This window comes from Homo sapiens, chromosome 11 (genome assembly GCF_000001405.40).
Source record: "Homo sapiens chromosome 11, GRCh38.p14 Primary Assembly".
NCBI classification, from domain to species: domain Eukaryota; kingdom Metazoa; phylum Chordata; class Mammalia; order Primates; family Hominidae; genus Homo; species Homo sapiens.
Genome location: NC_000011.10, coordinates 35,941,686 through 35,965,675, shown reverse-complemented (window position 1 = coordinate 35,965,675; position 23,990 = coordinate 35,941,686). Strand labels below are relative to the sequence as shown.

Genomic DNA, 23,990 nt, shown 5'->3' with positions numbered 1-23,990 from the left:
AATAAATCTTATTCCCCCATCTCTCTTTGGTTTCCTCCCTCCTCTCTCCAGAATTTTTTACCCATTCCTATCTTCACAAAGGCCTCCCCAGTTTCTCGGCACATAGTGAGGACTTCCTGCTTTAGAAAACTCTTCCTGAAACCCTAAATACCCACATACCTGAAAACAAATTACCTACACCCTCCCATGGCCCCCAGCCACAGCCTTGGAGCCTCCTCTCTTCCAGTCAAGCCTCTGAACAGAATAGTCTCTACCAGCAGTTCCCAAATGTGTGTTACAAGAACACCCTGGTCCGTGAAAAAGGGTTCACAGGTTAGCAACAAAAGTAGAAAATGAAGGCACAATTGCAGCAAGCTCTTCTTAGAATTAAACTTATTCCACTTACAGGACCATCCTTCATTCTGATGAGCCATTACAACATTTTTGTATTAAAACATAATTTATTTTAGAAAATAATGATTGGATAATTAGAGAGTGATTTGGTTTTCATTATTCTCATCTGATCAAATAAAAGCGGGTGACTCAACATCAAGAGCCCAAGCTTTTGTTTTTTTCTTTTTTTTCATTACTTTACTGGTCCATAATATCCAAGCCTGGGAATTGTGTTTATTATACTAATCAGTTTCAGTTGGCTGCCTCCACTTCCGCCCCAGCTCAACTCTTCTCAACACTATTTTTTTTTTTTTTGGAGACAGTCTTGCTCTGTTGCCCAGGCTGAAGTGTGGTGGCATAATCACAGCTCACTGCAGCCTCAAACTTCCTGGGTTCAAGTTATCTTCCTACCTCAAGCTTCTGAGTAGCAGGCACTACAGGTGTGCACCAGCATGTCCAACCTAATTTTTGTATTTTTTGTATAGACAGGGTTTCACCATGTTGCCCAAGCTGGTCTTGAACGCCAGGGCTCAAGTGATCCTCCCACCTCAGCCTCCCCAAGTGCTAGGATTACAGGCATGAGCCACCACACCCAGGCTCAACCCTAATTTACAAACCCAGCTTCTACTCTCACCATTCAAGTGAAACCATTCCCTCAATGGTGTCCAAATCTGGGCCTTCTTCCCTCTAGCCTGCATCTGACAGCCTAGACCAGGCCCTGGTTACACTCAGACAGACGACAGCCTCCAAAGTAGAGGCTAACTCCAGGCTTTCCAAACAGAGCCCTGAGCAAGGGAAAGCCTTCCCAGTGCCTATGTCCCAAAGCCCAAACCCCAAGTTCTAAGCTGGGTCTCTGTGGCCTCATCACTACCCCATCTACCAAAGCAAGACTGTGGGGCTGGAAAAGCCCAGGACTCACACAACCTCGCTCTCACCCAAGTCCCAGCAAGTTGTTCAATTTCTCTGAAACTCAGTCTCCTACTGGGTCAAATCACGATCATGACAGTCTTGACCTCATAGGGATCTTGAGGGGATTCAAAAAAATCCAGTGGGTAAAGCACTTTCCCCAGAGCCTGGGACACAGTAAGCACCAAATAATTGGGAACATGGTTAGTAGTAGGAGTGTTCCTAGTAGACAATGCCCTCTTTCTAGTTTTATCTTCCATTGCTCAAGACTCCAGCAAACTTGTAATACTTATGGCTTCCCAAATACACTGCATAGTTTCTCTCCTCTGGGACCCAGCCCACGCCATCCTGGAATTCCATCACATCAAGGACTGCCTTCCCAATCCTTGTTTATTCATCATGGCCGGAAGAAATGGGGACCTCCTCTAACTCCAGCAACATTAGGTCTATATCACTCTTGTGCCACTCACCACATTACTATACAACACCTTACTCAGAGACCCACGTGCACGTTTTCCCTCTTTTCATAAATTCTTCATTACTTAAGGTCAGGGGAAAGTTCTGCATATCCAACCATACCTACTATATTGATTTACAAGTAAGCGAACAATAAGCAATTGTTTTAAAAAGCCAGTGACAATAATACCAAACAGGTCATTTAAAAATAGATGGTAAGCACATACAGAGTGGAGACTTCTTATGGCCAATGTTGAATTTCTTCCCAGGACGAAGAACAGTAGTGTTTACATGTGGGTATATATGTTACAGAAATACCACAAGTTGGGTCTACATCCTGCTGTTTTCCGCAAAGAAAGCCAATGGCTGAGATGATGATTATTGCCAAGGAAGAAGGCTTTAATCGGGTGGCAAAGCCGAGGAGACTCAGTCTTAAATCAGTCTCCCTGAATAACTAAAACTAGAGGTTTTAGGGAAGAAATGTAACAACGTGTTAAAAAAAAAAAAACACACACACACACAGAACTGGGAGAGGCAAGGAAACAATTGTAATGAATGAGGGGTTCTGACATCTAACTGTCAGAATGTGGTGATCTGGTGAGTTTCAGTTCTTTGATATTTTTTTTAAGAGGCCTGAAGATCATTTCCTAAGGAAGGAACACATATTAAAAAAATGTAAGTTTCAAGCTTTAAGACCAGAAGGGTCAATTTCTATGTTTACCCAAAAAAACTATCTATGGGACCGTTGGTTGGTTTCATACATGCACAGACACAAATATGTTCATCCCAAAATCTCAGGCAATGCAAGTGGACAGTAATTAAAATTTTAATAAAATGGCATTTAAATCCATCGTCCTTGTGGCCTGGCCTTCCTCCCTCCACAGTTGTGACTGACTGTCACCATATAACTCTACTTTGTTCTCCCATTAACATCTACATCTCTGTAGTTCTGATCTCTGTGTTGTTTTGATTATGTCTTCTTCTGGTATATCTACTTCTGGTTTAGTCTTTACCACATTATTTCCATATCTTCACTCAGATCACCACTTCCAAGTGACACTGTTATTTATTTTGCAAAGCCAGTCTTTTTACCCTCTGTTTCGTTCCCCACCCACGTTGAGTTCTGAATCCACTAAATGTCCTTTTCATGGTGTCCTATGTATGCAAATAGCTCAAGTCTACAGAGATTTTAATTTCTTTTCATTCTACTTTCCTCTTCCATCTCGCAAACAAATATAACATATTTAAACAGGAAAGGGAACAGTCAGTGTGTCCTCCCCTAAATATGCTTAGAGAAAGGGCATTTCTATTTCATAATCTTTGAGGCTCTTTAGTCCACTGTATGAACTCATTAAACTGGAGGTGGTCCAGAGAGCCCAGGAAACTTAATGAGCCTCCCAGACGCAAGCTGTTCATACCCTTTTGAAGTCAGTGTGGAACCAACATATGGAAAATGATCATCAGCCACTTAGTCCTGATGACGGCCCCAGAGGGTGGGTATACCCTCTTCCACCCAAAATTCAGGAAGAAAAAGGTACTTTCTGTAGAGGCAAAACGAGACTGAGATGAGCCGTTTGAACCAGCAGCAAAACTAAAATATACCTGGAATTCTGAAGACTCTGCTTCCAGAATCTCACTTAGCACTGACCCTGCACTATGTCCTAGGTCATGAAAGAGAATACCCCTAGAACTTGGAGACAAGCTCAAGTTCAAACTCCAAAAACGTGAGGATTTTAGAATCAACAAAAAAGGAAAAAGGCTATTTAAATGTATTTCAAAAAGACCAAGAAGACAGAGGGAAGAACATTTCAAGGAGGGGGAAAAAATGCAAATAATAAATTTTTTAAGTGAAAATGTGAAAATGAGGAGTCACCAAAGTCTAATTTCTAGTTCATGATTAGTGACCAGAAATTTCAGGACTGAAATTTTCAGGAGGATCAAGAGTCCTCATCTCGGTTTTAAGACCACAAACAGGATCACAGTCATCCCTGGCTTAAAATATCCTCATTGTACATTTTAAAATAACTAAAAGAGTATAATTGGATCGTTTGTAACACAAAGGATAAATGCTTGAGGGAATGGATACCCCATTCTCCATGATGTGATTATGAAACACTGCATGCCTGTATCAAAACATCTCATGTACCCCGTAAATATGCACCTACTCTGTACACACAAAAATTTTAAATTTTAAAAAAATTTTAATATTCTCATTGTTGTTAGAGTAAAATGCAAAAGCTTTACATAGCCTGCTGTACAAACCAAAGCACAACTGAGAAGTCACTAAGTAGAAACTCATTCATTTATTCAACAAGCTAGGCACTGGGGGTTTGAGATAAATGACACTCCCAGCCCTCAACCCTAGTCTCGGCATGGATTGGTAAGCATGTGGTGAGTGCTCCTGAAATGCCAGCATGGGCTAAGCAACCTGCATTCATGATCTTGTCTACTCTCCCCAAGAATGCTGTGAGGCTGCTATTAACCTTATCCTCCTTTTACAGGTAAAGAACACACTGAGGCAGAGCAGCTCTGTAACTGGCCTAAGTAAGGTCACGCAGCCAGGATCTGACCTCAGACTGTTTGGTTCAAGAGCCTGCCTTCTGAACCATCACTCTCCCACACCTCCAGTGGAAGCGGAGCCTAGAAAAGGGCTCACCACTGCTTTGCTTATCTTCTTGCAGCAGTGCACCCTGGATGAATGGTCCCAGCATCACAGAATGAGACACCCTCCAGGGAGGAGGAGCACATGGCTGACGCTCACTGCCTTCTATACGCTGAGCCACGGGGGCACCAGAATCCACACAATTGGGAAACATTCTGATCTCCAGCAGAATGAGACCTTATCACCCAGTCCTACGGTCCAGAGCTGGGGCCTGGACGTTCATGCCATGCCAACAGTAGAACAACCGCCTCTTAACTGCCTGTCATGAATGGCCTTGGGGTTCCCCATCCATTATCCACCTCAGCGGGAGATGAGGGAACAGGCCTGGCCACAGCCCACCACTCCCCTGACCAGTCATCAGGGGCAGGCAAATTAAAACCAAAGCAGGCCGGGCACGGTGGCTCACGCCTGTAATCCCAGCACTTTGGGAGGCGAGGCGGGCGGATCATGAGGTCAGGAGTTCAAGACCAGCCTGGCCAACATGGTGAGACTCCGTCTCTACTAAAAATACAAAAATTAGCCAGATGTGGGAACACAAGCCTATAATCCCAGCTACTAAGGTGGCTGAGGCAGAGAACTGCTTGAACCCAACAGGCGGGGGGTTGCAGTGAGCCGAGATCGCGCCACTGCACTCCAGCCTGGGCGACAGAGCGAGACTCTGTCTCAAAAATAAACAAACAAAACAAAACAAAACACAGCAAGTCACCACCTTGCACCTTGGAGAAACAAATTAAAAACTCTAAATTCCAAATGTTGGAAGAAAAGTGGAGAAACAGATGCTCTCATAAACCACTAATGAGAGGATAAATGGGCAGGACCATTTTATAGAGAAGTTGGCAATATCTACTCAGGTTGAAAACGTGCAAATCCTTTGATCAGCAATTCTACTTCAAGGATATTATTATAGAGAAAGTCCTGCTATTATGCACAAAAATTTTCACTGCAGTGTGGCTAGTCATAGTAATAATCTAAATATCCTTTTAAGAGATGAATGAGCAAAGTGTAGTATATTCATATAATAGGATATTCTACCGCAGCTAAAATAAACTGTATCTGTATGTGGCAATGTGGATAGAACTCAAAATTATAAATGGGATGGAACTCAAAATTATAAAGGTAAATGAAAAAAGCCAGCTGCAGAAGCGTAGGCCATTTGATAGCCACCTAAGCACACTTTAAAATCCTATGCAAGGGATGTAAGTGCACATCAGTAGCAAAAGACTAAAAACAGGGACAGAAAGGATATATGCCAATTTGGGGATAGTGATGACCTCTGGGCCAAGAGAGAGTAATGGGATGAGGCAAAGTCTTTGACTCTATCTGTAATACATTTTTCTTTTTTTGGCGGGGGATGGAGTCTCACTCTGTCACCAAAGCTGGAGTAGAATGGTGAGATCTTAGCTCACAGCAACCTCAGCCTTCTGGGTTCAAGCAATTCTCATGCCTCAGCCTCCCAAGTAGCTACAGGGACCACAGGTGTACCCTACCATGCCCGGCTAATTTTTTTTCTGTATATTTTTAGTAGAGATGGGGTTTCACCATGTGAGCCAGGCTGGTCGCGAACTCCTGGCCTCAAGTGATCCACCAGCCTCAGCCTCCCAAAGTGCTAAGATTATAGGTATGAGCCACCACACCTAGCCACATTTTTCTTTTAAGAGGAAAGCCTGAATTATAATGACATATATTAAAAATCTGATAAATCTATATGATAGGTACACTACTGTTTGTTATACTGTTCTCAGATCTTTTACGCTATTCGGAAGATTCAATAATTTAAAGTAATTAAAAATATATTTTAAAGCACCCAAGTTAATCTTATAATCATCTAGGCTTAATAAACATTCAAGTATAGAGAACAAGCATAAATAAACTGCAATACTGTGTGTTAAGTTCTACACGAACAAATACAAGTTACAGGCAGCCATTAAGAAGTCAGAGATTAATTCTCTGATTGGGAGTTGAAGATGGGAGGACACTTTTCTAGAATAGGAGATTCACTAGCCAGGTTTCAGAGGGTGAACAGGAAGCTTTCTCTGATAAACTGTCTGCAAACACAGTCATATCCTTAATTAATAGTGAGACCAGACAGCAAACAAGAGCACACAATCCATACGGCTGCGCTGAGCTGTGGGAAAAGTTGCGAGCTGGGAGACGGCGTTCCTTCTCCATCAGGCTGACCAGAATCATGTGCTAAAAAAGCCAGCAAGAAACAGGGATCACTATGGTACCGACACCATCTTGATTTGTATCAGTTCACCCGTGTGGCAAGGCCTGGGAGCCTGGAGGCCCAATGCTGCTGGGAGGGGCAGGGGATGGAGGGTCCAGTGACCACAGAGCCTTCTTGCAAAGTTTCCAGGAGGGTCTGCAATCTAGACGAGAGCAGCGCACGTCTGCACACGTGAATCAAGGTCTGGGGTGGTTGTCACCTTGTACTCATGTAGTATGGTTTTCAGTCTTTTTTCCACCCCCTAGGTAACACTCTCCCATCGATCTCAATGAGGGAGAGGAAGAGTGGCTTCCTCTTCCCCAACCCTTGAATATCACTGCTGTAAAATGTAGGGGGTAGTTAATTGATGGGAAAAGGTGGACTGAAGAAATTGGAAGAAAAGAAGATCCAAGGCTGGGCAACAACAGGCTTTGGAACAAAATGCAATAGTAACACCAATGATCAGACCAGGCACCCAGGAGTCCTGAGAGAGCCTACAGGAAAAGGAGGGCCCTCAAGAATTGACCTACACCAAAGGTCAATTCTTCGAGGTGACTGACATCAGATCTCTAGCTTTTAGTGAGTGGGGACTACTACGGCCAGATTGGACTGAACAGAAGAAAATAAAGAAATGAAGTGCTGGGCACCAAGCACCATGGGGCAATTTGTACCTCACACACATACACACTACAAATTTGAATCATCTGTTTCGTAAGAATTTTCTTTCCGTGGAAGAATTATTCTACAGTAACACTGTCCATTAGAACTTTCCTCAATGACAGAAATGCTCTGTGTCTGTGCTATCCAATCCCATCAGCCACATGGGACTATTGAGCATCTGAAATAGGCTGGGTGTGACTGAGAAACTGAATTTTTACATTGTATTTAAACTTAACTAATTTAAATTTCAGTAGCCCCAGGTGGCTAGTGGCCACCTTACTGGAGAACACAGGTCAGTGACATCCTTCTTAATGTCTGCATAGTATTTTAGTATACTGGCACGATAACTCTCCCCTACTAGTGAGCATTTTGTTAGTCTCCAGTGTTTCACCACTATAAATGATACTGCCACAAACACAGGTATCCTCATTGCCAAACTTTTGTACACATTGCAAACTATTTCACTGAGTTAAAGTGCTAGAAGTGGAATTGTGGAGTCAACGGGTAATTTCTGTTTTTAGGGATTTCCTACATATTAGAATCACCCACTTAAAATAACACAGATGTGTACGGCATTGTATTTTTTTCTTTTCTTTTCTTTTTTTTTTTTTTTTTTTTGAGATAAGGTCTCACTCTGTCACCCAGGCTGGAGCGCAATGGCACGATCTCAGCTCCATGCAACCTCCGTCTCCTGGGTTCAAGCGATTCTTCTGTCTCAGCCTCCTACCTGAGACTATAGATGCACACCACTGTGCCCGGCTAATTTTTGTATTTTTAGTAGTGACGAGGTTTCGCCATGTTGCCCAGGCTGCCCAGCCCAAACTCCTGAGCTCAGGTGATCCACCTGCCTCAGCCTCCCAAAGTGCTGGGATAACAGGCATGAGCCACCGCACCCAGCTCATTTTACTTTTTACTAGCTGTTTTTACATCCTACACGATTCCAACTGGATTCTCATGACCATCATGTAAAAGCAGAGGGGCCAGGTAATGTCATCTCCTACATATAGACAAGGATATAAGCTGTGAGGCAGCATGTTGCTGGCTTGGGTGGGTCAGATGATTTTTACAGCCAACATCAAAGAATACACCCAGCATTCTGTGATGGGAGACTTCTTGTACTCGTAGATTAGTGTAACATGGGAAAACGTCTATGCTATATTCAGAAGTGAAAAAAGCAGGACATGAAATTATATTCCACGTATGATCAAAACTATCTAAAATCAATATAAATAAATAAACCAATGTGTTAAAAATCTTTAGGTGGTAGACTGTATGTTATGTGTTTCTACCTTTTGTCCAAGTTTTTATAATAAACCTATTACTAATCAATAACATTTAGTGAGCAATTATAAATAAAGTGTGGCCAGGTGCAGTGTCTCACGCCTGTAATCCCAGCACTTTGGGTAATCCCAGCACTTTGGGAGGCCGAGACAGGCGGATCACGAGGTCAGGAGATCGAGATCATCCTGGCTAACGTGGTGAAACCCCATCTCTACTGAAAATACAAAAAATTAGCCGGGCGTAGTGGCGGGCGCCTGTAGTCCCAGCTACTCAGGAGGCTGAGGCAGGAGAATGGTGTGAACCCGGGAGGCAGAGCTTGCAGTGAGCCGAGATTGCACCACTGCACCCAGCCTGGGAAACAGAGCAAGACTCCGTCTCAAAAAAAATAAATAAAATAAATAAAAATAAAGTTAAGTGTTTTGCATGCATTATCTTATTTAAAATATTTCTACATGGTAAGGACCATTATTATACCTATTAACAGACGAAGATGTGATGGATTTAAAAAGTTTAAGAAACCTAGCCAAGGTCAAGGCAAGGAACTGGAATCTGAACCCAGACTGACTCACTCTAAAGCCTGTATTCTTAATCACCACATCAATGCCTCTCAAACTTTAATATGCACATGTATCACTTGGGGATCTTGTTAAAATGCAGATTCTGATTCAGGTGATGCTGATGCTGTTGGTCTGTCAACCACACTAAGAGTAGCAAAGCTCTACACAATCCATATTGTAAAATCTTAAAAGAGAAAATACACTATATTCAACCAGGAAAATGTTTTCTAATAATTATTTTGAATTTTATTTTTAGAGATGGGGGTCTTGCTATGTTGCACAGGCTGGTCTCCACTCCTGGCCTCAAGCGATCCTCCTGTCTCAGCCTCCGGAGTAGCTGGAATTACAGGCATGAGCCACCATACCCAGCTCTGTTATCGAATAATTTAAATAACATGAAAGCTTAATAATATATAACAAAAATACACCTTCTCCTCAGTAACCTTTACATCCTCTTTCCATCCATATGAGAGGCCCGAAGCTGCTCTTGTAAATTCCCACCAGCAGACTCCCCTTGGGCAGCCACTGGTGTCAGACTCACTAAGCCCAACTCAAAGTTAATCAACCTTCTCATCTCATTAGCAGGAAGGATTTTATCCCCATAGCTTCCATGAGTGAGCACTTCTGTAGATCCAGGGAGCAGGTGTGTAGGAAAGGCCCCTGGGGGCTCCCCAAGGAACTGGTCAGTCCCACCCACCATTCCCACTGCACACACCACCCAGTCCTCAGCACCTGATGAGCACTTCCCCATTCCCACAGACTTTACTTAAAACATTAGAACTATGTATTCTCTAAATATTTTAACCTTCCAAAATTTGGCAAGCACCAGCTAATTTTATACTTGAAGAACCTTCAACATCCTTTCATTATGTTCCTAATTCTTCATGTCTTTTTATGTGGGATGATCAGATATTTGTTTTTTAATGAATCTTTTGTCATTTGCAGTAACCCTGTTTATCTATTTTAATGCTTAATGCTATGAAATTACTTATATGATACCATAAAAGTAGTCCTTACATAATGGATTTTATTTCCTTAACTTTTCACTCTATTTATATCTCTTGAATTTTACTACGTGTCCGAAAGTGAGCAGATAGGTGATTTCTTTTAATAAGAGTAACATTTTGCTTTACATTTAGTCTTTAGTTGATGTATTCATATCACCTTCCACTTACCTTTAATGTTATATTTACTGATGTGCTTCCTTCCTGGAATCATTTGCGTGGTTTGACCAGCAAAGTTTTATTTCCTTTTAAACTAGACCAGAAGATAACCAATTGTTCCTTACTATTTCATGTGTTTAATACTGTTTTTTTGTTTTGTTTTGTTTTGAGAGAGAGTCTCATTCTGTTGCCCAGGCTGGAGTGCAGTGGTGCAATCTCAGCTCATTACAACCTCCACCTCCCAGGTTCAAGCGATTCTCGTGCCTCGGCCTCCCGAGTAGCTGGGATTACAGGCATGTGCCACCATGCCCGGCTAATTTTTATATTTTTAGTAGAGATGATGTTTCGCCATGTTGGCCAGGCTGGTCTCGAAGTCCTGGCCTCAAGTTATCTGCCCGCCTCGGCCTCCCAAGGTGTAAGCCAGTGCACCCGGCCTAATACTGTTATTTTATAAAACAGACCTGCTTTAATTTATTTCCTCTTGGTGACCTCTCCTACTTGTTCAGTAAACTATGTAAACTCCCTTCAAATGGAATTAAGATGCATAGCAGTTTTCATTAGCCTGTCAGAAACCCTTTTGATATGTCACATGCTAGTCTCATAATGAATCTAATTTATCACCTGATTTAAAATTGCTATAATACATTGCCCTCTCAAAGGCCTCTTTTTCTTTGTCTTTTTAAGCCAAGGGATATCCTGTAAAGATCTTTCCAAGTCTTTGAAGATCAATGAGACTGTTCTAAACTCCAGCGAAGGAGAAGCAATTTTCACCAAAAGGCAAAGTTAGCTTGGCCAGGTAAATTTCATTCACCATGGCTTAGTCTGACTCTCCCAATTCCGTCTCTTTTTCAAAGTCATAGTCATGTCTTTAGTGATCCCCTTCATTCCTTCTTGTAGGGTAACTTACAGGAAATCCTACTGTGTGCCTGATACTATGCCAAGCACTGAATCAGGTTCTGGAGTATAACAACAAATAAGATAGACATCAAAAACACAATAGACTCCATCCCACCTCATGGAGCTTTAGTCACACAGGAAAAGAGAAGAATTCTTTTTTCTGTTCAGGATTGTTGCCAAGTCACATTTTATGGGTACTTTTAAAAGATGTTGACGTTGCCCTTCAATTCTGGGCAGTGTTCCTTCCGCTGAATATATATACATTCATATTTTGTACCATCTCTGACTGTTCTGGTATGCTTATTATTCAAAAACTGAACCCTATTATATTTTTGACACCTGTTAGCTTTTCTTGTATTGTCATCATTATCATTTACTTGAATAACACAAATGAACTCTGGGTATGCTAAACCTTTATTATGTCACCACTGCCCTTCATAGGATCCACCGATGTTTATTGTTACACTGTAACATTTACAAGATTAGTTCTATCTTTCATTAATACCAAATATTCTTAATGTAAAAGTCATTCTTTCCAACTTTATCTCTTTTACAGTAGTAAGCATCAACTCATTCCAATCCTGCTTCCCCAGGTTCCTGCCAGCTGGGCTCACTTGCTAGTATCATACTTTTTAATCAAGCTTATGCCAATGTTTTTATCAATCTGTTTTTGAAACACCTTATTTAGTTCTGTTCTGGTTTCTCTTAGCATTAACCATTCTTTACAGCTTGAACTCTGATGAAATACCCTATGTTGCTAATCACTCTTCCCCTCCCCAAATTCCCCCAATTTTATTTTTATAATAAAAAAACAAGTTAAATTTAGAACTTTCCAAATCAATCAAGAGGCTTTTTTCAACGGACTGTGGAACTACAAGTGTGACTAGGGCTCATTTTTCAGCCATGTCCAATTAGTTTAACGACGCCTGGAGAACACTGCTCTGATTCAAGGCTAAAGCTGAAGGAAAATGTTCCAGTAATGCCATCAAAGAGGACACACTTCTGACATTCGCTAAGCCAAACTCACTCGGTCTTATAATAATGAGAAGGGATTTTTAATGCAATAAAATTAAACACCCTTTATGCTTTCATTTCTTTATGCCAACAAACACATAAGTGTCCCACTGCCACCTGGAACACTGGCACCTTGGGTATGCAAGTCTTCTAAATCAAGTTATTCATAAATTCCACATCCTTGCAGCACCCGGATGCCCAAGGCCTGTTCCAGAGTAAGCTAAAGGGCCTGCCCTCCCTCCCCGTGGCCGCTCGCCAGGACAGAGACAACATCGTCTGCACACTGCGCTATTTGTCTGTCAAAAATCACAGTTGGATTTGGGCAACAGCGAATTCACCCAATTTATCACCTGTCTCTTGATATCACAATGACTCAACAAAAGGAGAGTCCGGTTCTCAGGTCTCTGGAAAGGCCTTGGGAGTAAGTTTAAAATCCTGGGGTTCACTCTGCTCTGCCTGTAGCTAACACTTTACAGGCCTGTGGCATTACTTTCTCACAAGACATCACTGCCTACTTTCGCACAAGAGCCCCTTAGTTTGAAGCAACAAGATGGGGCCAATTATTTCTAGTTTCTTTCTGGAGCAACATATTAAAATTTCAGCTTCCACAATAAAGAACATCAATCTCTAGTTCAGGAAATGTTCTCTCATACATGGACCATATAAGCTTAAGCTCAGGGTCAGAAAGTAATTCTAAAAATACTTTAATTTCTCTTTTGATACGAGGCATTATCATCAGTACTGTATCTTTGTCTAGAAAATATATTTCCAGACTTTTTGAACAGTGGGCCCTTCTATTTGGCACCCAGCACTATTTGAGGGAAGTGCTGAAAAGAAATTGCTTTTGGTTGGTATTCCAACAAAATATTCCCATAAAGGGGGGAAGAATTATCTCTATCATTAATATATTCAAAGGCAAGTGTCATGGTGCTGAAATAACTTGTTTATTCTTATTTTTGTTTAATAAATTCAGTCTTTGCAAAAGCCAATTTCAACACCTATACTGATACGTTCTCCACATAGGAGAACAGCAGTTTCTATCTGCCAAAGACAGGCCATTTGAGTAGAATCAACTTGAGATGCCCCCCACTCCAATGGCTCTCTAACAAATCATTCTATCCAACACGATAAGCATGAAGTCAATATTGACATCCCTATGCAATGCTGGAATTCTCCAGCACAAGGTAGACGGTGCAATTCTTCTCCCAACACATACAGACTTGGATTTCTATTCTATACCAAAGCAGCAGGGCCAGTGGTTAGGAGACCAAGTCTAAGTCACGCAGACCCACGTGCCAATTCTGAAACTATCTCTTACTGGTCGAAGGTTTAGGAAAGTTACTGAACCTTTTAGTTTCCTCATCTATAAAACGGTAAAGCATACTACCCACCTGAATAAACTACTCTGAAAATGAAATAAGATCCACCAGCAGGGAAAGCATTAAATAAATTATAGTATGTACACACACCAGAAAGCTGTTTTTAAAAGCATGGGTAGGTATATAAGAGCCGAAAGAAAGATGGCCAAGAAGACACTTTTATTTGATGTTGTAACATCTCTGACATCAGGATGTACCTAATGGCCAACTGCATCTTCTAAAAGCACAGGGTGGGCGGAAGCTGTGATTTATTGGTCACTGGCAGTGCCTGGGTAAACTTGGTCACAGCTGTTCCTATTTCGTCACTTCCCTCCAGTTATGTGCATGGCTGGTACTACACAGGTTGAAGTGACCTGCTATTTAGAATGTCCTTCAAAAGATGATGTTAAAATGTGGCATTGAAATGAAAAATTAAACACATTTGTGTATACACAAAGAGGCAGGGAAACAGCATGAATTTGATAATAGTGAAGCAAATATCTCTCACTGCAAGAAATTACCATAATTCCATATTTTCTTGCAAAGCAAGAGCCAGCCCTTTAAGAGAATTAAAAGAGGAAAACACAAATAACTGAAGGTGTATCAGCTGTGCTTCTGAGATAGCAACAAAAGGGGTGTCTGTTCAAGAGCCGAGCAAAGCAAGGGAAGGTGAGGGAAACTGCCAAATTGCTTGGGACTAACTGAAATGTCTAAACAACAGGAGACAGATGTGACGCATTCACATGGCTCAAAATAAAATTGATGAAATATAGTACTTGAGTTAAAAAGCCAGCCAAAAAACTACAAATAGAGACAAGCAGGAGCTCATTAAATTATGTCTCTGTGTGTGTGTACCTGTATATAATTATAAATCCATGTTAAAGCTAAATTGATATATACCAGACAATTCACAGTAGTTACTTAAGGGAGGGGAGAGAAATGGGAAAGGAAGATGAAGGAGGATTTTAATGTTTTATTATTGCCATTACTTCTAATTTGTATGAATTTTGTATCATAAGCACGTACTCAGTCTGTGTATTTTTTTTTAATTTTTTATTTTTTGAGACAGAGTCTCACTATGTCACCCAGGCTGGAGTCAGTGGCACGATCTCGGCTCACTGCAACCTCCACTTCCCAGGTTCAAGTGATTCTCCTGCCTCAGCCTCCCAAGTAGCTGGGATTACAGGTGCGTGCCACCACTCCCGGCTAACGTTTTGCATTTTTAGAAGAGACGGGGTTTCACCATGTTAGCCAGGATGGTCTCGATCTTCTGACTTCGTGATCCGCCCACCTCGGCCCCCCAAAGTGCTGGGATTACAGGCATGAGTCACTGCTCCTGGCCCCCGTGTATTATTTTTGCAGTGTTTGTAATTCAAGAAGTTTATAACAAAATAAGACACGTACAGTGCTTGCCACCCTGCCAGACAGAGTAAACCTTCAATGAATGGGAGCCACTCTCACTCTTCTAGACACCACAAAAGAAAAAGTATCACAGACACTTAATATATGATCCCAGTCCCTCAAGGAGCTTTCAATCTAGCAGGATTTAGAAGGTAAGAAAGGTTTTACATATACAGTATATATATATAACCAGGGTATACACAGACATACACATACACATACACACATACACATATATACTGTGTATGACCATAAGGTAAAGAAGGCTATTGTCCAAAAGCCACAGAAGACATTTCTAGCTCAAACCTCAGAAGCCTAGAGCTAGAAAAGTCACAGAGCACCAATACACGTATACCAGTATTTTATCTTGAAAGCTAAAGAAGCAAACTAGGACATGTGTCATCACCTCTGAAACCTGTTCAAGAATGACACATTGATTAAATATCCCTGAAGACGCAGTACCCATGTTTGCCTGGGCACTGTGACATCTTCACGGCTCTGTGTTCCCATCAAGGTCCAAGATCCATCAGTACAACTCCTGTCTAGAAATGCCTCCGAGATTACACTGGCAGAGAGCCTCTACCCTTCCCAGATAACGAAGAAGGTCAACAATCCCATTTCCATCAGTGGGTCATTTGGGTCTTCAAGGGCAAAGAACAAGTTTTACATGGCTTCGCCTACCCCTGGAAATAGACACAGTGCCTGGGTGTGGCAGAGATGATGGCACAATGACGAACAACCAAATAAAATATTAAGAAATTGCTAACTATCCAAAGACAAAGAAAATGACATTTGCACACTCAGGAAGCTAAAGCTCCTCACTACAGAAGGCTTTTCCAAGAGGGCATGGTTTCAGATAAATGGACCTGAACTGAAACAATGTGCATTTCTCCCCAGGAAGCCATCGTCCTCCTCTGGGTGCCACCTTGCATCCTGTGAATTCATGCCCAAAAGAAGACAGCTGCAGATAAGTTATGTGGCTAGTCTGAAGAGAGGTGGAAGCACAATTCTTAAGGAAGGTTTGGAACAGAGCAAAGCAAAACGACAGCTGGAAGGAAAAGTGTCTTAAAGGAACTGAAGTGTTATAAAGTGACACAGAGCAACAAAGAGACTTTAGAGAAAAAAGTGTACGATGAAAACTTCTAAAAACACACACACACAGCTTGCCGCTAGTAGAGATGATTTTCCCAAGCACCTGCAGAACGAATCAAGTTGTAAGGCCTTTTGATGGCAAGGGAGAAGGAATTATGGGGAGGGAAAGGGGAGCCCAGAAGAACAATACCTACTCTGTGAAGTGGAGGAAGGGGAACTTCCAGGGTTAGGATTTCAACACAAGACTTCCAAGGCAATCTGGCAGCTTGTGCTCCTATAGCCCTCCCTCAGGGCTGCTGAACCTCCCAGGTTTAACATTCAGGGAACCAGGTGGCTTTTGGTGTCAGCTGTCACCTGCCTATCACCTGCTTTCTCTGCATATGTCTCTCCCAAGGAAACCACATATAGAAAATTCCAGAAGTTTTCACTCTGACACAAGAGGAAAGCGAGAGGGAAAGGGTCAGTGCTGACGGCATTCCTGGTTAAGAATGGGTTTTCCCATGGAACTGTGTGGCTACAAAACATAAAGCCAAAGCCCAAAGGCCCTTGGGAGGAGGATGGCATCTTGACCCCCTGCATCCAGAAGACACACTCAGGATGCACAGTAATGATGCACAGTAATGATGCACAGTAATGATGCACAGTAATGATGCTCAAGATGCATGGCAAGGACACTTGCTCATGCTAGACCAGGGGTTCTCAACTAGGGGCAACGTGGCAATGTCGGGAGGCATTTGTGGCTGTCACCGCTGTGGGTGAAGAGTAAGCCAATACAGGCATCAAGAACTAGTGATGCTGCTGTGACCATCCCGCAATGCACAGGACAACCCCCACAACAAAGAACTATCCAGGCCAAGGTGTCGTTGGTACCAAAGCTGAGAAACCCTGCCCGAGACTAACCCCATCCCTGCAACCACCTCCAAAAGCCCTAAGAATCCTATCTCAAGTAAACTTTTGCTCTCCCCCGACCAAGCAGTTACTCTGTCATAAAAGTCCACGTACTATATTAAGATGTATTAAACATCAAGCCAATGATGTGACGAGCAAATACGGCATATCAAAAGTACCTGGCTGCTCTCCCAGCAAACATCTTCAAGGTACTCCTTAGCATCCAAGTGAGTAGATTTTTTCACAACAATAGAAGAAGGCAGTTACATACATATGCACATGTGTGCATGTGCACACACACACACACACACACACACACACACACGATCAGCCAACTTAAAAATCTCCCTGGTTGTCAGGTAGAGGCACTGGCAAAACAACAACAAAACTGCATGGTTAGAATGGTCCAAGCATTTCCTAAATATTTTGAAGACAGAAAGAGGGGAAAAGAACAAACAAGAAAACCCAACAACCAAAAATAGATCCATCCCTGGGGCAATCCCATAGCTAAAAACAGTTCCATCACTCCAAGGCATCTCCATGGTGGAAAGTACCTTATTTTTTTAATTCTAAAATACAATAAACACATTTTAAGAGGGGAATACGAATTTAGAGCTCAAAGAATGAAAACGAACCCCCATGTAACTACAATTCGGGTCAAGAAATCGAACCCTGGCTGGTATCATCTCCCCGCCTAGTGTTTGTCACTCACCCACACACACAGCAAAAGGACCAGAGTTAGTCTGAAAAAGTTTCATCTTCACATAAGGATTGAGATGTATTTTATGTATTTACCATGAACACCAAAGTATCCTGCAAAGAAAGCTGATGTCTCTGCTGAATAGATCCTGGGCAGTGACCACAAAGTGAACAGATTTGGGGAGGGGGAGCATTCATGTAAACAATCTCACTGTGTCAATTCGCAAGAGCACTGTGGAGGAAAGGCATGGAAGCATGGTGCAGGAAGCCTGGAAACAGAGTGGGAAAAGCCCAGGTAGGGGGCAAAGAGAAGCTTAAGTTAGAATCTAGGCTTCAGCCTTTACTGTGGTACCCTGGGTATTATCAATCTCTCCTGAACCATACAATGATTTCCTGCCACATGATATCCTTGGCAAGTTTCAATGGGATCATGTGCTTAAAGTAATGAGCAAAGCATCTCACACACAGGAGATGCTTCACTGATAGTGGGTTCCCTCTCTTTCCCTTGCCCACAGAAACAGGCAAGGTTGTAAAGGCCAATTCTTTTTTCTTTTTTTTTTTTTTAATTGAGGCAGTCTTGCTCTGGAGTGCAGCGGCGCGATCTTGGCTTATTGCAACCTCCGCTTCCCAGGTTCAAGTGATTCTCCCACCTTGGCCTCCGGAGTAGCTGGGATTACAGGCGCACGTCACCACACCTGGCTAATTTTTGTATTTTTAGTAGAGACGACGGTTTCACCATGTTGGCCAGGCTGGTCTCAAACTCCTGACCTCAAGCGATCCACACATCTTGGCCTCCCAAAGTGCTGGGATTACAGGCGTGAGCCATTACTCCGGCTTAAGGCCAATTCTTTAACATGAAATTACTTGATTATAAGTGTTCCTAAACTCCAAATTCTCTAAACTGCTTTACAAAGGTGACAATACAAGTCCACTTTCAACTTATCCTGCAGACTGGCTGAAAGGTGTCTAAACCACTCTTCAAGGCCCAGAATTTACCACCCCACCCTCTCCTACTCCCATCTCTCTCCCTCCCCCACTTATCCCAGAGTAAATGGCCTAAGTCGGCTGTCAGGAAAAAACATCTCACACCCCAGTAGGGAGCCTTAGTCACATCTCTTTGAAGATGAAAAGCAACAAGGTGTGTTTATTTGTACTCTGGTGTACAAGGCCTCTTTTAGGCCTCATCTTCCCGAGCTGAGCTGTGCTGAGATGTGCACAGCTACTCAGCAAGTTAAAAACAATAAAACCCACCCCTCACACCGTTAAGCAGATCTTTCCAGGAGAAAAGGTCAATACTCACTCCTGGGAGTACACTCACTCCTGGGAAAATCAAGCCTTTTCACTGATACAGAATGTCAGGAAGTCTAGGCAAAGGTCAGTCCTGGAGGAGGTGAGAAGATGGACCATCATCCAGCATGGCTGCCTTTAGAAATGTCTCAAGCCATACGCACTTAAACCCACTGAGTCCACCCACATGCAGGAAAACTGGACATCAGATGACATGACTTGGGCTTAGTCTCTCTCGCAGGATACATTAAAAAATAGTAACGGTGAAAATCAATGCTTCACTTCCCTAACACAAATAAAAACAAAGGAAGAAAAAAATATGCAAGGTGTCTGAGAAGGTTCCTGAATAAAAAAGGCCTCCAAACTGCTCTTGGAATGTCAGTGGCTTTCCAGCCCCACAAAGACTCAGGACTCTAACTACGGTTCAACCTTGACCCTGGGATTCTTTCACAGACTATCAGATGGAGACAGAGATCCAAAGTCTTGGCTTTTACAATCTCTCTTGTTTTATCAACTTCCCAGAAGAGGATCCAAGCATAGGCCATGGGATGGAGGGGTAGGGTCTCTGGTCTGGCTATGAAACCCAAACTGAACCAAACAGGCTTTTCTTATGGGCTGGGAGCCCAGGAGCATCTAGTTGACATTAGGAAAAAGGACCAGCCCTGTTTCTGGCAACACTTGGGTCAAAGTGAAATCTATGCTAAAAAGATGATGCTTAATGTAACATGAAAGATGCACACACTCCAACCTGCCTAGATGTTTCTAAGGCAGCAACTCTAAAGGTAATTCAAAGCCCACAGATAATGGAAAACCCACCAGGGACAGTTGGACTATTCCTCCCCCTATCCGTCTGCTCCTTGCTATGACCATTTTATTTATTTTAGCCCTATCTCAGATGTACACACACACATTAAATAGCCACTGCTGACCAGAGAGGGACAAAATTAACTTTACAACTATTTTTACAGAGATGGAGACTCAACTAAAGCAACCCAGTACCAACTGGGAGATGCAATAAATAAGTTTCCATTTGGCTACAGTGGCTCTCCCAGGACACACACAAGAGCCAGCTTCCATACTGTCCTTCTCAGGTGCTATGAGGGGACACACCACAGCTACACAGATTGAATTTGTGAATCCAAACAGGTCTTCATATCTGTAGACGCCCTGAAAATCGACCTGCTCTAACAGCCTCCAAACAATTCACACCTGCTCCTGGCTGCCCAATGTCCTGTGAGAACTCTCTCCCCAGGTGGACTAATTTAAGGGCACTCTCACCCAGACCTGGTTAAAAATCCACAGCAGTCACCAGGAGGTCTAGTCCCTCCCTGGAAGCCCAGCAAACCCATAAGCATCTAAATGGGGTATCAGAGGAGTGGAGATGATGTCATGGGTCTGAGAGCAGGAAAGGCTGCCCAGTGGGCTGTGAGGATGCCCAGGACCAGGGACATCAAGGAAGAGAGGAGATATCCCTTTAACGCATTCATAACTCCAAGGCACAGCTAAGAATGAAGTGAGCCTCAACTTAGCAAACCCACAGGCCACCAAAGACACCTCGACAGCCAAGCTGCTAGAAGCACTTGGCAAAATAGGGCAGCTATTGGACATGTGGATGGCACAAACACCAGGCAGGCAAGATTCTGCTGAAGAAAGTTCACTGGGCCCTGTCACCCACATTCTAGGCATCAGATGCCCAGAAATAAACGTCAAGGGGCCAAGGGCGGGCCCAGTCCAGGAGGGACAGCTGACAGCTGTGGGCGGCGGGCAGGGGCAGAGGAGGAAGGGCTCCCAGGCTGGAATTCGGATCATGCCCACATCAGCAGAAAAGTTCCTGGGAACAGCACGCTGTCTGGAAGGGAAAGAGGCTTGCTGCGGTCCAGGCCCCGGGATGCACACGCGGTGGTGATGCCAGGTTCAAAGGGCCGCCGGATGAAGCCCCGTGTCCTCTCCCAGGGCCCCTCGCCGGTCAGGGCGCCCATCGCGGGGCAAGTAGGGTGGTCAGACGTCTTAAATAAAGCTTCGGTTCCCAGGATCAGTGGGGAAAAATGAATTCCCAGATCCGGCCTTGCTTCAACTCACTTTACCCAAACCAAACAGTCCCAGAGAGGAATGAAAGGAAGCAGCTTTGCTACTCCCTCCGCGGTGCAGGTGGGGAAACTGAGGCACGGAGTGCACGCCAGAGACTCGGGAAGAGGCCCAGAGGAGGCTAACGCAGCCGCGCGCGACCAGGCGTCTGGGAAGATGAGACCAGGGAAGAGTTCTCTCCTCTCCTCTCCTTTCCTTTCCCCGCCTCCGTTCCTCAACACACACAACACACACACAGCCACACTCGAGCTACGCCCAATCGGGGCAGCCGCCGGGCTCCCCAGACCCGGACTGCACACAGAGCCCCGCCCGCGCACACAGCACAACACGACCCGGCGCGCACGCCCACACAATAGGACGGCTCGCACCCCGCGGCGGCCCCTCGGCAGGGTCCGGGCCAGCCCGGCGCCGGGGTCCGCCCTCCGCGCTCACCCACGCCCGGAGAGCGGCCCGCGCCCGGGAGAGGACGCGATCGCACCCGGCCGCTGCGCCCCGCGCCCCGCGCCCCGCGCCCCGCGGGAAGTTCGCCGGCCGCCCCCCGACTCACCCGCGGCGCTGCTCAGCAGCAGGCACAGCGGCCCCAGCAGCCACATGGCGCGGCCGCCGCTCCCGCTGCCCGGCGTCGTTGCTGCCCCCGCGGCCTCGGCGCTGACCCCGCCCCTCGCCGCGCCGTCCCCGCCCTCCCGCCTGGCCCTCCTCCCTCCCGCCTTCCCCGGGCCCGGCCCCGGCCCGGCTCCGCTAAGTTTTGCAAGCGCCTGGGCTGCGCGTGGCCACCCGCATGTTACCCTGGGTGTCCTGACTCCGAGGGGCCGCCGAGCGCGGCGGAGGGTTCAGCCTTTCGGTCTCTCAGCCTTTCAGCCTCCCAGGTCTGGCCGCGAGGATCTTCTAACAGCCTGGGCTCTGTTCTCTGCTTCCTTTTGTCCCTCTCATTTCTGCCTTTGCTTCCACACCCAGCGAGATGCAGCGCCCAGACCAAAACTTGAGTTCTTTACTCAAACTACAAAGTGAGTTTACTACCGAGAGAGAAAAAGTTAAAATAAAGGGTCAAATCTTATGAGAAAATTGTAGTATATTTTTAGTAGCGAGTGTGGAATACCAGTGCTTCTCAAACTTTAATATGCATCCGGCACACTTGACGATCTTGTTAAAATACTGACTCTGGTTCAGTAGATCTGGCGTGGAGCCTGAGATTCTGCATTTTTAACAACATGGTGGCTGATTCCAAGGCTGATGATCCGGGAGCCACCGGTAAGAGCAGCTGACACCTACCATGCACACAGCGTGGACCACATGAGTTATTTTGTCTGCATAGTGTCCACCTTGACCTGTTGAACGTTTGGGACCCAATTTGGAAAAAATAAAATTAAAAAAAGGAAAAGGTCATGAAAGGCAGATACCCAAATGCAAAAAATATAGCTGCACCAATGCACTTGCTTCCAGAGGGCACTGGTGAAAAGCCCCAAAAGACTTAGATGGTGGAAGAAGGGGATGACACTTCTGTGCTCCACTCTCTCTGATCCCCCACCCAAAAAAAGCAAAAGACTAACGCAAATAATTGCCAAAAACTGGAAACAACTCAAGTGTCCATCAATTGATAAATGGATCAATAAATTAAAACTTTTGGGGGCAGTGGGACTGTTCTAATCTTGATTATAGAGGTAGTTACACAACTGTATACATTTGTCAAAACAATAGAACTGCATCCCTAAAATCCACCCCTCAAAAGGGTTGAGTTTATTTACACAAACTCCACCTGGCTGAAAGAAAGGGGAAGGTATGGGTACAGGGGCAGTTATAAAAGGGATGCCTGCGTCAGATTTTGGGATGCCCTGGAGACACCCTCAAGGGTGTTAAGATTCAATTACTTTACTCTGTAATTGCGTGCTGTAGTCTGGAAACATAAAGGCTAAAAAGGATCAGGTCAAAATTTAAAAATACCAATGATTGTTCAAGGTAATGAGAAAATGTGATGTGAGGGAGGAAAGGTTAAGTTCCATAGTTCATAGTACACATGGAAAATATAAATCAATTATCTAAATGATTTGGCATTCGGGGCTTTTATCCTGGGATTGATGAATATTATGGAGATCGTCCCATGGGCTTCAAAGAATTTTAAAGCCCTTAAAATTTTATGCAAAATGTCCTGTGCATGTGGGTATGTGCATTGTTCCGGGAAGCTTGTTGGGAAGAGGCCTCCTGCCTTTGATAATAATATCTGAGGAGGCAAATAAGCAAATAATTTCTCCTACAGCTGCTCATTTGCCTCCAAACATTAGGGATACGGAAAGATAATGCAACTGACCCACTGCTATAGTTCTTATTTCCTTAGGTTTCTTTGGACACATCAACTTCCTTACTTTGCAAGTTTGACTCTGACTCTCTCTCTCGTTCTCTCTCTCTCACATACACACAGGCACACACACTTTTAAATATAAATATATTAATGTCTTTGAAATCATTTGGACTAATGTAAAACCTTATTTAAGGTCAACTGTTGTATTTATTTATTTATTTATCTATTTATTTATTTATGAAACAGAGTCTCACTCTGTTGCCCAGGCTGGGTGCAGTGGCACATTTTGGCTCACTGCAACCTCCGCCTCCCGAGTTCCAGGGATTCTCCTGCCTCAGCCTCCCAAGTAGCTGGGACTACAAGCACCCGCCACCATGCCCAGCTAATTTTTGTATTTTTAGTAGAAACGGGGGTTTCACCATGTTGGCCAGGCTGGTCTCGATCTCCTGACCTCGTGATCCGCCCATCTCGGCCTCCCAAAGTGCTGGGATTACAGGTGTGAGCCACCGTGCCCGGCCCGACTGTTGTTTTTATACTTATACTAAATCACTGCCAACCTCCTCCTCACCGTATAAGCTGGGTAGGAGATGAAACTATTCTTTATACTTTATTACTCTCCTTTTTCCCAGTTCTTTAGAATTCCAAGCGCAAAACATTCAGTTTCCAGGAAATGTGAGAGGTTTCAGTGCTAATCGTTTAGGTCTATGGAGCCA

General features: G+C 44.0%; 1 protein-coding gene across 3 annotated transcripts in view, besides 1 other annotated feature; it reads right to left on the bottom strand.

The window, feature by feature from the left end:
* LDLRAD3 (low density lipoprotein receptor class A domain containing 3) overlaps positions 1-21,614 on the bottom strand; it is a 288,075-nt gene extending 266,461 nt beyond the window's left edge. For all 3 annotated transcript variants that reach the window (NM_174902.4, NM_001304264.2, NM_001304263.2), the window contains exon 1: positions 21,532-21,614. In NM_174902.4, coding sequence (NP_777562.1) covers positions 21,532-21,577 — 46 coding nt within the window. In that variant the 5' untranslated portion in view covers positions 21,578-21,614. The remainder of the gene's footprint in view (positions 1-21,531) is intronic.
* Positions 21,264-21,703: a silencer, noted in NCBI's record as "silent region_3265". NCBI's record gives its function as "represses an Ori minimal core promoter by ATAC-STARR-seq in GM12878 lymphoblastoid cells {active_cell/tissue: GM12878}" and the evidence as "EXISTENCE:reporter gene assay evidence [ECO:0000049][PMID:35858748]".